This window comes from Homo sapiens, chromosome 5 (genome assembly GCF_000001405.40).
Source record: "Homo sapiens chromosome 5, GRCh38.p14 Primary Assembly".
In the NCBI taxonomy this organism is placed as follows: domain Eukaryota; kingdom Metazoa; phylum Chordata; class Mammalia; order Primates; family Hominidae; genus Homo; species Homo sapiens.
In genome coordinates, this window is record NC_000005.10 from 95,645,805 (window position 1) to 95,662,478 (window position 16,674).

General features: G+C 36.9%; 2 protein-coding genes across 20 annotated transcripts in view; one reads left to right on the forward strand and one right to left on the reverse strand.

Annotated features, from left to right (window-relative positions):
• The first annotated feature begins 972 nt into the window (after positions 1 to 972).
• Positions 973 to 12,278, forward strand: RFESD (Rieske Fe-S domain containing). 7 transcript variants are annotated; one of them, XM_011543360.3, is made up of 7 exons: positions 1,075 to 2,270; positions 2,875 to 2,956; positions 6,333 to 6,527; positions 7,313 to 7,410; positions 8,257 to 8,432; positions 8,529 to 8,563; positions 10,242 to 12,278. In XM_011543360.3, exons 3-7 carry the CDS (start codon positions 6,468 to 6,470, stop codon positions 10,503 to 10,505), a joined length of 633 nt encoding a protein of 210 aa, XP_011541662.1. In that variant the 5' UTR covers positions 1,075 to 2,270; positions 2,875 to 2,956; positions 6,333 to 6,467; the 3' UTR covers positions 10,506 to 12,278. The 7 variants fall into 7 exon arrangements, with proteins under 7 accessions (XP_016864902.1, NP_001124538.1, NP_001362323.1 ...); XM_017009413.2 differs by lacking the exon at positions 2,875 to 2,956 and having other exon boundaries at positions 973 to 1,261; NM_001131066.2 differs by lacking the exons at positions 1,075 to 2,270; positions 2,875 to 2,956 and adding an exon at positions 973 to 1,013.
• SPATA9 (spermatogenesis associated 9) overlaps positions 6,377 to 16,674 on the reverse strand; it is a 79,922-nt gene continuing 69,624 nt past the window's right edge. For 9 of the 13 annotated variants that reach the window (NR_125329.2, NM_001349303.2, XM_047417809.1 and 6 more), the window contains one exon: positions 12,511 to 13,109. Coding sequence is in view for 8 of the 13 variants with exons in the window: in NM_001349303.2 (NP_001336232.1) it covers positions 12,819 to 13,109 (291 nt within the window). In the remaining 5 variants the exon portion in view is untranslated. Of the gene's footprint in view, positions 7,406 to 9,526; positions 9,692 to 10,144; positions 10,274 to 11,153; positions 11,301 to 12,510; positions 13,110 to 16,674 lie in introns of those variants that run through there. The other 4 variants (NR_125330.2, NR_125327.2, NR_125328.1 and 1 more) reach the window with 3 other exon arrangements.

The following is a 16,674-nucleotide window of genomic DNA, read 5'->3' on the forward strand; positions in this document are numbered from 1 at the left end:
TGCAAAGTTCATAATATGAAAGTGAAAACTCTCCATCTCCTCCCAAAGCAACCACTATTGTTTCTTTTGATTTTTCGAGAAAAAGTTTATGTACATACCTGCATGTTTGTATTTCAAAAAATAATTGTTTACATTAAAGAGAGGACACCATATATAGTATTCTACGCTTTGCCTTTAATATTCATTACATGATGGGCCTGTCCTTTGAGTATACAGTACACAGCTACGAAGTAATTCACATGTCTGTACTGTTGTGCTGTGTTTTATTGAACCATTCCTCCGTGTTATCACTTCAGCTATTTTCACTACTTCACAGCAATAAACATTTTTTTTTTTTTTGAGATGGAGTTTCGCTCGTGTTGTCCAGGCTGGAGTGCAACGGCGCGATCTCGGCTCACCGCAACCTCTGCCTCCTGGATTCAAAGCGATTCTCCTGCCTCAGCCTCCTGAGTACCTGCGATTACAGGCCTGGGCCACCACGCCCGGCTAATTTTGTATTTTTAGTAGAGATGGGGTTTCTCCATGTTGGTCAGGCTGGTCTCAAACTCCCGACCTCAGGTGATTCGCCCGCCTCGGCCTCCCAAAGTACTGGGATTACAGGCGTGAACCACCGCGCCCGGCCTTAACATCCTTATACATGGGTTACCAGCATCGCGACGACCTTCTGCAAATATTTTTATAGGGTAAATAACTGAATGAAGTCGCTGGGCGCATCTAAAATTTGAATAAATGTAATGAGATCAACAAACAACTAAAAAGTAAACTGATGCTATCCACATTTGTCAAGTACACGAGTATGCCTGCCAGTTTGAAGGTGCTGGCGCGGCGCTGTTGGCCAGAGATCTCTATCAACCAGGGTCATCTGCCGGCAATGCCATAGAGGCGGTCCCGGGGGCGGGCCTTCTTGGGTCACGTGGACGGCCTCGCCCCGCCCCCGTCGAGGCGCCGCGCACGTCTGGAGCTCTGGCTCGTGCAGTAGCGTCACGCGGAGGCGGAGCGAGGACTCGGGGACAGTAAGTTCTGTTCTCGCCGCGCAGGGGGCGGGCTGGCGGGACCAGCTGCTTCCGGCTGGGCTGCGGGCGTGGACTCCTCATTCCGGCTGTGGCCGCGCCGCTGCGGGGCCTGAGGCCCTCTTGGGTTTTGGTTCAGCGTTAGTTAACGGTTAACCCGCCAAGGCGGGCTTCCGCCCAGGCACAGGAGACTCACCGAGCTTGTTCACCTTGAAACTTGGGCCACACCTGAGACCTGCCACCTAAGGGGGGTACGCGGGTCGTTTTTAACAAGCTTTCATGGCATTTGTGCCATGAAAGCTCTAAAGTATAGAAGCTGCTCCAGGGCTTCCGCAGCCCCGGCCGTCCTGGAGATACTCGCCTCCTGGAGTCTGTGTCGAGAATTTGCAGCACCTGGACAGCCACGTGCAGTCTCAGAACTGCAGGCGGTCTTTACCGAAATGTTAAACACAACTTGAAGTTAGGCAGGATAACTGCCAGAGCTGGATGGACCTTAGAGGTGCCAGCTAACGCGCTGTGAGCGTTTTCTGCGGTTAGGCCTGCTCTAAACATTTGACATGTGTTAAAGCATTTATGTGCTTTACCCACACCCCTATGTGGCGGGCCCTTCTTAAAGTAAAAGAAACTGCAGCACAGCGAAGTTAAGCAACTTGCCCCAAATCACGCAGAACTGGGATGCAAACCCAGGTCTAGCTCACTCGTGATCACAATTCAACATCATACGATGGTGCTGATTTCCAGAGCAGCTCTGTGACTTTATATAAAATTATTGGGCAAGCGTTCAATTGTAAACATTCGTGAACATAGCTGTTGCACATTAGCGTTCCTTTTTTTTTTTAATTCAGGACCATCTTTGGTGACAAATATAAATATCAATACTATATATATCACCAATATACATATTTGCTTTGCTAAAAGGTTTCTGTGTCTTCAGGATAGTTTACTTGCAAGCCTCATGTTTTTATAAAAACGTGGGTGCTACCTGAATAAAACTAATGCCTACCCGTTGGCGGTTTTGTGAAGACTAATGAACTATTATATTCAAAGGGTCCAAGCAGTAGGCATTTACTAAAGGACAGCTAGTTTTATCTGTTATTATTCTGCCATTCAGAGAGATACCAAAACTACTCTCTAAGGCATTTCTCTTCCCTGCATGTAAAAGCAAGGGTGTCATACTTGAGATAAGCATTCTGATAATGTGTAGGCAAAGTTTCCACACTTGGTAAAAGCATCTTAGTCATGGTTCAAGACGAGTGACAAGTAAGTACGTTTCACTTCATGTTTCTTTTATCTCCCGTGTCTTGTGGAAATTTGAGTTACACTAAATATTTTTTTAAATTCCACTTGAATTTATTTCCTTTGTTGGAAAGGAATCTAATAGTGACCGAGTATCCATTTAGCTAATTTGTAATTTTATATGGAGTTAGCACCTTTAGAAACCAATTTTAGGGACAGGCCAAAAATTTTTCTCGAAGAGAACATGAAACACAACGACTAAGTTTTTCAGGGGGATGTTTTCAACTAGCCGTCAAACTGTATGAGTTGTTTAATTTTCTGTTTCATTCAGTTAAGATTCTATTATCTTAAAGTAGACTTAAAATCGAAACATATTGGGAGTTTATGAATAGTTCATCAAAATAACGATAATTAAGGTGAACACGTGGGCTTTCCCTATTGTGTGAATGGATCATGATATTCACAATAGTAAGAATAATATGGGTGTTAAATGTAAAAAGTCCTCAAATAGTATAAATAGTACCATTTAAGATACATAGAGGAAACTATTATTTGACATATAAAATTATACTTTTCTAAGCAAAATGCACAGCCATAATCATAGTTCTCTGAAACCTTTATCATTTAGCCCCAGTCTTCTCTGCTCCTTTTTTATCAGTCCCGTAAAAGTTCACCAGTTTGTCGGGTTGGAGGCAAACCTTGCAAAAACTGTAAGTTTGTAGTGACTCAAATTTGAGAAAGACCTGTATTTGGTTCTCATTTATTTGGGAGTTGGGAAAACATAATTAACTTTTGATATTATACTACATCTCTTGTATTTCGTTACTTTTTGATAGTAGTGCTTTTTTTTTTTTTTTTTTTTTTGGCCTGGAGGAAAACAACTATTCATTTATTTCCTCCTTTGGTGCCAAGTTTTGAAATTAGCTGTACAAAATTCTCAAATAGTTAATTCATGACCTATGCACAGGCACATTCTCTGAGGATAGAAAGGGCAATTTTGTTCCATTTTTCTTGGGTTTGGGGTCATTTGCTACATAAATATACATTAGGATACAACTTAAATCTTGAAAAGAATAATTTTAATTATAAGAAAAAAGTAAATACTTTTAGACATTTAAGAAATGTTTATTATCCCCTTGCTTTTCTTGATATATTTACCCTATAGTACATATATCCATGAATAATATACTGTTTGGTTTTGCCACTTTTGTGATAAAAACGGAAACATACTCTGAATTCCTTTTTAAATTTTTCACTTGCAATTATGTTTTTTGAAATTAAGCCAACTTGATGTAGAGATACATTTTTCACTGCTGTACAGCATTCCATTGAATGAACATACACATTTTCCATTCTACTGTTGATGGGTTTTGTGTTGTTTTTGTTTTTTGCTGTTATAACTATTCTTGTGTATGTTTCCTGGTGTACCTGTGTGCATTTCTGTGGCATATACCCAAAGTGGGATTATTATTATGTTTAACTTTACTAGGTAATGCCAAATTGTGGTAGCACTAATTTATGTTATCACTAGCAGTTCCATATTTTCACTAATACTTGGTATAATTTTTTGTCAGCCTGGTGGATAGAAAATAGTATCACATTAATGGCCTTGCTTTGCATTTCCTTTGCGTTTTCCTACTAATGAGATTGAGTGTCTTTACATATACTGGCCATTCAGATTTCTTTATTTGTGAAATGTTTGTTCATGTCTTGCCCATTTTTCTATGATTATTTGTTCTTTTTTTACTGGCCTATAGGAGTTCTTCACATATTCTGAATCTCAAGAGTTTGTCAGTTATATGTATTGCAAATTCCACATTTCTTTCTTTTCTTTTTCTTTAGCCTATTTCCCCTTATTTCAGTTCATTCCTTTGTCTGTTCCCATTTTTCTTATTACCCCTCTGTTCTGTCACAAAATGTGATGAAGGCTGCATGCCCAACTCTGAAGGCAAATACTACCACCTGATCAATTTGTGTTCTTTGAGTACCTGCCAAAATCAAATAAAACCAGATGACCATTCAGAGATAGTATTCTTGCCTCCTATCAGCCATAGCTAACCCAGAAAATCATGGCCATGGTCCTCTTTGCCTTTGCTTTAAAATAATAAACTTTTGCTTTTTTATTGTGAGATAATTTTTAAAAACAGCATATGTATTACTTTTCTATCCCCCCCTTTAAAAAAAAATTAGAGCAGAATTAAAAATGCAAACTTCAGAGTACAAATTTGACATCCCTATAATTTTCTAAGTTTGATGTGTGTAATGCCTTCTTTTATACATTGAATTCAAAGCCCCTGTCTCTCCCCATCAACACACATGCACACATGCACAAACATGAACACACATATCTCTCTACCTACACCTCAATTTTGGAGCCCAGCCTTACAATGATATCTGATATCTGTCTTCCACATGGCTCAGAACTATTTATCTCAAAATAGTGACCTATAAATTCTCTTTTTCTAAAGCTCACTCCTAACACACTAACAGAGATTTTACTCTTAATAATTTTTGTTTTATAAACTTACTTTTTAAATGAACCATGCTCTTTTTCTGCTAACATTTTAAAACTTCCAATCAGTTATATGGGATTAAATAAATATTTAGAGAAGCCATCAGGAAAATTATCTGCAGAAGTCCTAAAGTCACTTGGCACTTCCATGAAAACAATTTCCCTTTTTTGGGGAAGCGACTGGCCCATAGTGTGTAACCATTCTAAGCTAGGTACACCGAGGTACAAATGCCTTCTTTAAAGAAGTTGGATAGGGCCGGGCATGGTGGCTCACGCCTGTAATCCCAGCACATTGGGAGGCCGAGGCGGGCGGATCATGAGGTCAGGAGATCGAGACCATTCTGGCTAACATGGTGAAACCCCATCTCTACTAAAAATACAAAAAATTATCCGGGTGTGGTGGCGGGCGCCTGTAGTCCCAGCTACTTGGGAAGCTGAGGCAGGAGAATGACATGAACCCAGGAGGTGGAGCTTGCAGTGAGCCCAGATGGAGCCACTGCACTCCAGCCTGGGCTACAGAGTGAGACTCCGTCTCAAAAAAAAAAAAAAAAAAAAAAAGAAGTGGGATATATGTGTTTTTATGTAAAATGGTAACCTAAGACTTGAGTGGAATTACAATGCAGATTCCTTTTGATCAAGGAAAGGTACATTATCATGTTGCTTAACTCCTGTGAAATGCTACAGTATTACTATATTTGAAGAAGGTGTGGATGATGAAATATCTTCCTAAAGTTAGAATATTTATTTGAAGTTGACAACTGATTTGTAATTTTGTTAAATATTTGTAGACAAGTGTGTGTTTAATATCTTGAGCATTCCACAGCAAACTTTTTTTAAAAAAATATTTTTAGAGACAGGGTCTCACTCTGTTGCCCAGGCTGGAGTACAGTGGTATGATCATAGCTCACTGAAGCCTCAAACTCCTGGGCTCAAGTGATCCTCCTCCCTCAGCCTCCCAGGCAGCCAACCCTACAGGCAAGTACCAACCCACCTGGGTAATTTTTTAAAAACATTTTTATGTAGAGCTGGGTCTCAGTATGTTGCCTAGGCTGGTCTTGAATTCTTGGCAATTGATTTTCCCACCCAGGCCTCCCAAAGTGCTGGGATTACAGGTGTGAGCCACTGGCCTGAGTCATTATTTTGATTCAAGGGCAGGATCAAACCTATAATCCTTAAGCCTGTTCCTAAAAATAATATTGAGATATTTCTTAGTCTTGATTTTTTTCCCACCTTTTAATTTCTATATTTGGCCAAAAGGATATTAAAGAGTGGAATAGGAGACAAACTTTAGAAATACAGGGAAAAGAGAGTAGTAATGGTTATATTCTGAATATAAGCTCTTACTTGGATACTAATCAGTATTTGATTTCTAGGAGGGTGGATGTATAGGGAGTAAGTGAACTTACAAAGAGAAAAGGGTACAGGGTAGGCACAACTCTTTATAGAACAACCAAAGTTTCAGGACAGTTTCCTAAGAACCTCGAGTTTTCTTCATGTATTATTTATTGTTTAGTACACAGACGTGACCAGCATTGGAATTTATGTGGCCTCATTGCCTGCCTTTTTTTTTCCAGGTTACCACCTATTTGCAATTCAAGGAGAATATAAGACAGAGAAGAAAGCTGTGAATGAATTTCATTTGATTAGCAATAGATTGGACACTCTACTGATCTTGCCTCTCTACAACCTCTCTTCCACCTGACCTCTAAATGTTGAAGTGTTTCAGGAATTGTCTTAGACCTTCTTCCTTATCTACACTTCCTCTCCAAGTGAGTCCATAGAATTCTATGACCTGGAAACTCCCCAGTTTTTCTCTCTAGAAATTCTCGACTTTAGTCTCATATATCTGGTTGTTGACTTGACATCTCTACTTGGATGTCTCTGAGATACCTTAAACTCAATATGTGTAAAATATATATAGCTCTTGATTTTCCATTCTGCAAAAATACCATTCATTTCTTGGCCTTTCTCCTCACAGTCTTTGGCACTACAGTTCACCTAGCTGCACAAACCTAAAACTTGGGAGTCATCTTTATTTATTTTTCTGTAGCATCTTCATTCAAGTTCATCAACCCAACTTCTCTGTACTATAAAATTAAAATAATACCTTTTTAGTAACATGGAGGATTAAAGGAGTTAATAAATAAATGTAGCCTTTGAATAGTGCCTGGCACATAGTTAACACAATATAATTGTAGCTACTACTGCTACTGTTGTTATTACTTTTTATCCCCTACAGCATCAACCCCCTGCGGCAAGCCACCACCTTTTTCATGGACCCCTAGCTTTCTGATTTCTGGGCATCCATTGTTGTTTTGCTATAATCCATTCTCCACAGAGCCGGGAGCATTCTTTCAAAAAGAAATCAATTCACACTTTCCTGCTTTATACTCTTCAGTGGCTTTCCTTTGCTCTTAGAGTAAAATCCATACACAGCACTGCACAACCTGGCTCCTGCCTGTTTACCAATCTTGCATATTATGTTCCAGTCTTCTGGAACACATTCACCAAGACTTTTCTTTCCTTCAGGCTTTTGTATTTGCTCTTCTTTCAGTATGGAATTCTCTTCCCCAAGCTGTTGGCATGTCTAGTTCATTTGCATTTTGGGCATTTCAGCTCAGCTGTCATCTCAGTGACCAGTTTTTATCTGAGGTAAGAAAATGAAAGGTTTTCATTCATACCCACCTTCTCTTGCTGTAATAGCTATCTGGTTGTGCCTGTAAGAGCCAACTGTGTACTCCAGGCAAAACCAAGTGGACCACCTTAGCCAAGAGGCTGAAGACTATTCAGACAATCAAAGAATCCTGCTTTCAGCAGAAGGCTGAAAACAATGCAGATAACTGAATGTTGTTTAGTGTTGAATTTGATAGGAAATAAAGGGATAGTGAAACTTAAATCTCTATGTTTTACAAGTTCTGAAATTTCCTTCTTGACCTTGAAATGAATCTAATACAACTCTAGCCTCAGATTGAGGAATCCTCCCTAATTTTGGCAGTCTTTAAGAGTCTCTAACGCAAAGTAATGACTACCTACTTAATATAATCCAGTATTTATGGCCGGGCGCAGTGGCTCACGCCTGTAATCCCAGCACTTTGGGAGACTGAGGTGGGTGGATTACTTGAGGTCAGGAGTTTGAGACCAGCCTGGCCAACACAGAGAAACCTGTCTCTACTAAAAATACAAAAATTAGCCAGGTGTGGTGGTGGGCTCCTGTAATCGCAGCTACTCGGGAGGCCAAGGCAGGAGAATCCCTTGAACCTGGGAGGCGGAGGTTGCAGTGAGCTGAGATCGTGCTACTGCACTCCAGCCTGGGTGACAGAGTGAGACTCTGTCTCAAAATAATAATAATCTAGTATTTATAAATGTTTTATATAGCTACAGAAAGTGCCTCCATTAATCTTGAAAAGTCCGAACTATTCATTCTTAGGGTTATCTCCATTAAGCTGGAACCAAATTAGTGAATACTTCTTGTAACTTTCCTTCTTTATGTTCAACTAGCATGAATCTTGATGGCTCTGCACAAGATCCTGAAAAGAGGGAATATTCTTCTGTGTGTGTGGGCAGAGAAGATGACATTAAAAAATCTGAAAGAATGACAGCTGTTGTCCATGATAGAGAAGTGGTCATTTTCTACCACAAGGGAGAATATCATGCTATGGATATTCGCTGTTACCGTAAGATTTTATTTTTCATTTGTAAAACTTTAAACCATGAAACTATCAAAATTTCAGTTTTTTAGTGACTGCAGGTAATATTCAATTCCTTTTCAGACTCAGGAGGACCTTTACATTTGGGAGATATAGAGGTATGTAAAATTAAATTTATTTTCAGCAAATTCAGCAAATAAATATATTCAAAAATAATTTATAATTGGTTTGAACTATATTTTAATGCTTTGAATATAATTCCAAGTATTCTGGGAATTCATAAGATAAATGAGAAATATGCTTATCTTTTGACCTAGCAATTATACTCTATATCTATTCTATGGCCATAATTGCACGGATGTTTAAGTATTTGTATAGGAATGATTCATTGTAGCATTATTTATTATAATGAATAATTGAAGGCAACCTAAATGTTTTAACAATCGGAAACTGGTTAAATAAATTATGATACAGCCATGCTGTGGAATAACTGTACCATGCAATCATTAAATTAATAAGGCAGATCTATATGGGTATGGAGAGATGTGAACAATGTATTTGTGACTGAAAAAAGCACGTCATAGGATGATAATAGTCTTATGAGATCTCTTTTTTCATCAAAAAGAATATTCACTTTTTACTGTATACACTGTGCATAATTTGAATTTTTAAAATGAGTATATATTATTTTTATAATATAACAAAAATATACAGTATAAATATATTTTTAAAGAAATAAACCACACTGTAGTCTTAACTGAGGAGGAACGGGGGAAGTTGTCTTTGCTTCCTTGGATTCCAAAACTAGTCACCTAATTTCTTGTTTCTTCATGAAATTGGTCTCTCTCTCTCTAACCGATGCAAAGTACAAGCTTGAACTTAGCATTCCACTCTCTCTACACTTGATGAGTGTACACACCTGTCCTCATGTTAAAGAACGTATGTGTGTTTATTTTTTCTATTTTTTCCCATTGTCCAAACCCACATATGTGAATCTTTGCTGACAGTTTTATGTAATGTAAATTATGAAAATGTGAATCTTTGCTGACAGTTTTATGAAAGTACAAATCAGTATTCCTGCACTTTTGGATATAGAGGGGAAAATGAAAGCACCCACTTACATGTGTGAGCTGATAATAGTTCCATAGAATTTTCTCCAGTTTCAGTCCATAATGAGAGCTTGAAGACCTTGCTCCTCAAACTGTTGTCCATAGACCAGCAACTTTGGTGTCACATGGGAGCTTCTTAGACATGCAGAATCTTGTCACCCCAACCCCTTAGACCTACTACATTTAAACAGAGAGACATGCATTGAAACAAGATCCAGGTGCTTCCTATGTTTTTTAAAGTTTGAGAAGCACTTCACCAAGACAGTTAAAAAGTTGAGAATTAACTACTTTGGATCACAAATTGCTCTTCTATTATCATATGCACTCATGCCTTTAGTAACTCCTTTTGAATTTATATCTGAACCTTACAGTTCTTCTAGAAGCTAGTGAAAATTCCTATAGAAGCACTTGAAGTCCTTGCCCCATTTCTGTCAAGGAGGCGACATTAACATCTAATAGATAACAGCACAGCTGCAGTCACATGGTTTAGTTGCCTGAGCATGTCAGTCTTCTGATAGAGCTCTAACTGGCTTTCTAATCAACTGTAAAAGAGCTTGATGACTCTTCTCAGATTAGGATCTGCTTTATGCTGAATAATTTGTACATAGGAGGAAAAAAAGAAAAGCTAACCTGTTTTTTTAACCTGGTTCTTCTGCAGCAGACTCTTCAGAGTCTATCAAGAACATTTGACATGTCAGAATATTAAATGAGTTATTCTCTTCCCCAGGATTTTGATGGACGACCGTGTATAGTTTGCCCCTGGCATAAATACAAAATTACTTTGGCAACAGGAGAAGGTCTGTACCAGTCTATAAACCCTAAAGATCCATCAGCAAAACCCAAGTGGTGCTCCAAAGGAATAAAGCAAAGGATTCACACAGTGACAGTAGACAACGGAAATATTTATGTGACTCTTTCTAATGAACCTTTTAAGTGTGACTCTGATTTTTATGCCACTGGAGACTTCAAAGTAATTAAGAGTTCTTCCTGATAAAAAATATATAGAAATGAAAAATGTTGTGTATGCTTGAAAACATTTTTAGAATAACTCTGCTTCAGTTTTAAAGGTGATGAAATTTTTCAACATAGGCACAACTGTTTAAAATTCACATACATTTGAGAGGTTTAAGAGCACACATACTTAGTATGATGTAAGGATTATCATCAGGATCAATAGAATACATTTTATCGAATCTTCTGGATTAATTAGAAACCTGAAGGTTATAGGTTTGGGATGTTCTGTTTAAGAAGGATAAAAATAAATTTGGAGTAAACAAATAATAGGTAAAAATTAAGGATTAGTAAGAAAAAATTTTTTAATTTAAAAAATTTAATTTTTAAAATAGGAAAAAATCCCTGTTTGATGTAGCAGACTTAATTCTGGAAAAGTTTTAGTATATACAAAGTAAACAGACTATATAATGAACTTCCATCACTCAGCTTTAACAGTTATCAGCATTCTTCCATTCTTGTTTTATTTATACCTCTGTGGATTTGCTACCTCTCCTATTTGATTGTTATTTTTACATTTTTAGGAAAGTTTAAATACATTGAAATGTTCACCTCTGAACTGTGCAACCTTCCTAAATAACAGACTTTTTATACTTAAAAAATGCCTCCAAAAATGAGATAGGTTTACCTGCTGAACTTGAAAATAAGAAACTTAACCACTGTTAAGTGATCTGTGATCAAGGCAGATCTTGAAGTAAGGAAGCCAGACACAGCTGCTGCCCAGCCATGAGAGATGTAAAGTCTCCTATTCAGTGAGCCAATGTTCTTTGAATGCCTATATGAAATTTTCAAATAAAGATTTTTAAAAACGTTTTAGAACTTTGTGAATGTAGGCACAACTAAGTGTCTCCTATAAATATTATAGAGAGGAGATCTAGGGTTTTGTTCCTTGGAGTTCCCGAGCAAGGTTGATGTTCAGTTGGTTCACCCTGGTTTTATCATGTCAGTTATTTATGGTCAGTACCATTCAGTTGCAATGATGGTCATACCGTACCAGTTGTAATGTATTTAAAATAACACCCCAAGCACCCACCATGCAAAAATCAGCAGCACATAGTGGTGATTTTTGCATGGTCAGTGCTCATGCAAAAATCACCACTATGTGGGACCAGAAATAGCTAAAATGAGTAGATGATGAATTCAGAGTGAGAAGAACTGTCAAGATTGGAACCTAGTCTCAAAGCACAGTAGTATTTTTAAAGGAATAGAATTAAGAATCTAAATCTAATACTTAACATTCTAAGGAGCCGACCTGGACTCTTTCTCTTGGTTATTATAAAAATAGTAAATGAGTAAGGTCCGTATAGTAAAGACTCTGCTTACTTACCTTTACTACATATTATTACACTTCCTTTTCTGTTGGAGTTTGGATAGCATGAGTAGCACTTGGTCCTCATTTCTCAGACAACCAACGAACCAGACTTGGGCTTTTTATAGATACTGTTTGTGGTAGCAGCTACTTACTAAGTACAGAAAATGTACTATCTCTCAGGAAGGTACATCCCAGTCTATTCTATCATGTGATAATCCTTCAATGCCCAGTCAGGTCTTAACACATGTCCAGAATATAAAGTGTACAGAAGAAATCAAAGTACTTTCTTCAGGCAAAAACTAGCCCTGGTTTGCAGGAATAATTACAGAAATATTTTCTCATAGGAGCCACTGGCAATAATGAGTAGTGTGCACTTGATTTTTCATTCTAAATTTGTATCTCTAAATCTAGAAATAAAAATCATATCATGTACTGTCTTCATATACAGAAATCTTCTCATCACATTGGTAAGTAATATTTTGTTTTATAAATTTATGACATCTGTGAATTGCAAATCCTTCATAACTTTGCAAGTGATTTACAAAATAATAATAGGCAGACTCAAACTCTCCAGTCTGCATATAAAAAATAAATATTCTTTTATTTTGATATGCACCATCTTGATGGGGCTTTTTTTCCTCCCAAGTAAAGAATTAGACACTCAAAACAAGTCTTTAATAAAAACATTAATGTATTATAAATATGCTTATATTATAAACCACAGTGTAAAGTCTAACCTACCAGAGGATGGATTTTCTTGTTCATTAAAAGTATGTAGTCAGTACATATATTCCACATCAATATTCATTTTATTTACTCTATCATGTAAATACTAGAAAATGACATTTTAATAGTAGCCCCCTTCTCTTTTTTTTAAGAAAGCAGAGCAATTCAGAATATGTAAACTAGACTCTGAGTTTTGTCAGATGAAATGTGCCATTAAATAGATAACTCTTAAGTTCTGTTCAGTGATACCTGTATTCAGATTTGCTCATTCATTTCAGCTGATTGGTCAAACACAGAATGTAAAACTTGGATGTTATTACTCTGCTTATTAGCAAGAAGCTTGGGGTAATCTGAAATGTCTGGCTTCTCCGGCAATGACCTATAAGGTTTTGCTTTGATTTCACCTTCAGCAAACATAGGCTCCGAAAGCACAGGCTCAGAAAAGGCTTTTCTACAATTTTCACTCTCCTCTCTGTTTTGCCTTATGGATTCTTCTTCCTGGAAGATGTTCTTTACCTTCTTCAGCACAGCATTAACACAGACTGCCTATACAATAAAAAGAGTTTGTAAAGTGAAGTTTCTTTTTAAGCTACTAACCACAGATTAAAAACATACAATATAGTGTTCCACATAAAGTCATTTAATCTACATAATCTAATAAAAAACACTTCTTTTCAGGACCTTCAGGTACATAATATAATAAGCATTGGGAGATTGTTCTAAATAATACATTACAATCTAGAGAGCAATTTAAAACCTAGTATGCTTCAATAAATATATGTTTTACATCTTTTCCCCCCAATTCATTAGCTGTTTTACATCTTTATTCTCTTGATGTAATTAAATGAAACATTTTCTGAGAGATGGAATTTGTCCTCAAACATGGTTTTTCTCAAAGTAGTTTTTTTGTTTTAATTTTCTTCCCCCTAGACTTTGCTTATACTTACATGTGCAATGAAAGGACATCAACATATCAGTAAGAATTTAGTAAGCTACTATCAGTGGTTTCTGAGCAAATATGTGATCCACTGTCCCCTCCAAATATGCCACTCAGTACTTTAAGGAGAGGAGTGTCAAAAATAAAACAGAGAAAAATAACTTCAGAAATTCAGAACCACTAAGGACTGCATTAATTAAACTTACTCTGTAAGTTTACTAATGATGAAGATGATGATGATGCTGAGTATTCAAGGCACGCGGTGAGAACGGAAAATTCATGAAATATGAGAAGACTTAAACCAGTTTATTTCACCGAAGAAATGCCTCAAGGTAATATAAAAGATTATAAACACTTAGAAGGTTTTCCGAAAGAGGTAACAGCAAAAGGATTGAGGTCCTCAGGCTTGAACAGCCTCAACTTCCTCTTGCCCTCCTGCCTCCTGCCTCCTTCTTGCCTGCCTCTTGCTATAGAATTGAGGAACACAAGACACTTTCCCTCACTTCCCTGCAGTTAGTTCATTAGCTACCCTGTAACTAATGAAATAAAATGATATGTCTGCTGGGATGGAACTCAGAAAGGATTTTTGGAAAAGTTTTTCCTCCTATATAGACTGTCTTTTCCCTCTACCTATCTCCCTCTTCCTTCTTTGAACACTGATAGTATTGTGATGCTTGATCATGAGGCAACAAACCTAAGGACTAAAAAGTTTTTAGAAGAAAAAGAGGGAAAGACCCTGTTGTCTTAGGCTTTTAGGGCTGCTGTAACAAAATACCATGAACTGAGTAGCTTACAAACAATAGAAATTTATTTCTCACAGTTCTGGAGAGTGGGAAATCCGAGATCAAGGCACTGGCAGATTCAGGGTCTGGTGAGGGCTGGTTTTCTGTTTCATAGATGGTACCTTCTATCTATGTCCTCATATGGTGGAAGAAACAAGGCAGCTGTCTCAGGCCTCATTTCTAAGGGCACTAATCCCATTCATGAGGACTCTGCTCTCATTACCTAATCACTTCCCAAAGGCCCCACTTGCTAATACCACCACCTTGGGATTAGATTTTAACATAAGAATTTGGGGGAAGCACGGACATTCAGACCTGGGCTTTGATAACATGTTGGACCTAATTGTACAAACCTGGGAATTGCCTAACTCCCAACTTATAATTAAGATATTTAAGTATCTTTATCGATTAAGATACTGTCATTCAGATATCCTTTGTTACTTGCACTTTTATGTATCCAGACCCAGCACTAGAAACCTTTAAAGTCATGACCTTTAGCTGTAAACAGCCTCATCCATTTATCCAAAATATGATCATTCTCTGTGAATTCATGTTGCAAAAAAGGTTGGAAAGTTCTATCCTATTTGAAACATTCTCTCCTCCCTCACCAACAAAAAATTATATTTGTGCACATTCTAACCACCTTTTTCCCAGTCTCAGGAATGAACGGTCTTGATCAAGGTCAGTATCCTTCTATCTTTGTTTTTAACCTACATCCTACCATCTTCTCTATCAATTATTCCTTGTCTCTTCAGCCTCTTTACTCTTGACTGGATCTTCCCCTGCAATTTATAACATACTTGAGTATCTTCCATCCTAATATTTAAAAATTAAAAATCTCTGGGAATCTGCTTCTCTATTGACTGCTACACACTCTGTCTTCTTAGTCAAACCAGAGTCTGTTTCCACGTTATTACCTTCTGTTCACTCTGAAACCTGCTTATTTCTGTCTTCCTTATCCAGTTATGCCGCTGAAATCATTTTTGAGATGGTTAACCTTGACATCTTTACTACTATATCTAATGGACACTTCAAATCTTCATTTTACTTGACTTTTTCTGCTTGTATTTGACACTTAACTACTCACAACATCCTGAGTCTATTTCCTTGGCACTATTTCTCCTGATTTTCTTTCTGCCTTTCTGATTGTTGCTTCTTGTCTCCCAAATGGATTCTTTTTTAGCTCACTTAAATATTGCTGTTCTTCATATTTCTGTTGACTTACCTGTCTTTTCTCTTGATATGGTTCCACTCGTAGGACATTAACATCTAACATATATATTGCTTTCAAAACCAAAATTGTAACCTGACCTCTCCCAGGCCTTAGATACATATATGACCAATTATCAGATCACCAAAAATTTGTTTCTATTACCTGCTTATAAAGTTCATGGCGTGATAAATTGTGTGAGATGATTTCAACAGCCTTTGAGAAATTGAAATCTAATTTTTGTGTTAGTCTAGTTTTTATTTCCCCATAGACATGTCATCCTGTTCATTTTGTGCAATGTATTTACATCCTAGCTTAGTTGAATGCCAATTTTGTATAAGATTCACATTTAAAATATTGAGCACTTCTTGAAAATTTAAAACAGTGGCAAAATAGTTGATAAATTTAGTTTTTAAAAAACTGAATTAATATGTTTAAAAGTAAGTTCTACCTTTTTTCAAGGATATTTAGCTATTCTTGACCCTATGCACTTCCCTATATATTTTAGAACTATCTAGTCAACTTACATACACACACATACACACACACATGCACACACCTGCTTGGCTCTTAATTGGGACTTCTTGTATGTTTTGATATATTAACAAATGTGTAAGAATGCTAACAAAAAAACATAAAAATGATTAAAAGAAATTAAAGAATATCAAAATAAGTAGAAGGATATATTATATTCATGAACCGGAAAGAGGACTTATTCTCCCAGTTATTAAGATATAAAGCTCCTGTAATTAATACAGTGCTCAATTGGTACAAGAATAGACAAATAGACCAACTGAATAGAACAGAGAATCCATAAACAGACCTACACATAAAGGACACTTGATTTATGCAAAAAAGAGTATTCTAGGACAATAGAAAAAGGGCTTTTTTTAAAGAAAAAATAGATTAATTGGATACTCATGGGGAAAAATTTGACTCTTACCTCATATTAGTTCCAGATGGATTATAAATCTAAACGTGAAAGGTAAACTAACAAAGCTTCTAGAATACAACAGGAGAATATTTTCATGACCTTAGGTGTAAGTCAAGATTCTCTTTGACACAGAAAGCACGTAAGATAAAGGAAAAGATTAATAAATTGGATGACATTAAAATTATGATATGCTTTTATTTATTTTAAGACTGGATCTCACTATTTTGCCCAAGCTGGTCTCAAACTCC

What these genes read in the sequence shown, in the direction of transcription:
- RFESD (XM_017009413.2), top strand. Translation starts at nt 6,468, where the DNA reads ATGTTGAAGTGTTTCAGGAATTGTCTTAGACCTTCTTCCTTATCTACA. An exon ending in TATCTACACTTCCTCTCCAA is followed by an intron (nt 6,528 to 7,312) that starts GTGAGTCCATAG and finishes CTCTTCTTTCAG; the next exon opens with TATGGAATTCTCTTCCCCAA. An exon ending in TACATTTGGGAGATATAGAG is followed by an intron (nt 8,564 to 10,241) that starts GTATGTAAAATT and finishes TCTCTTCCCCAG; the next exon opens with GATTTTGATGGACGACCGTG.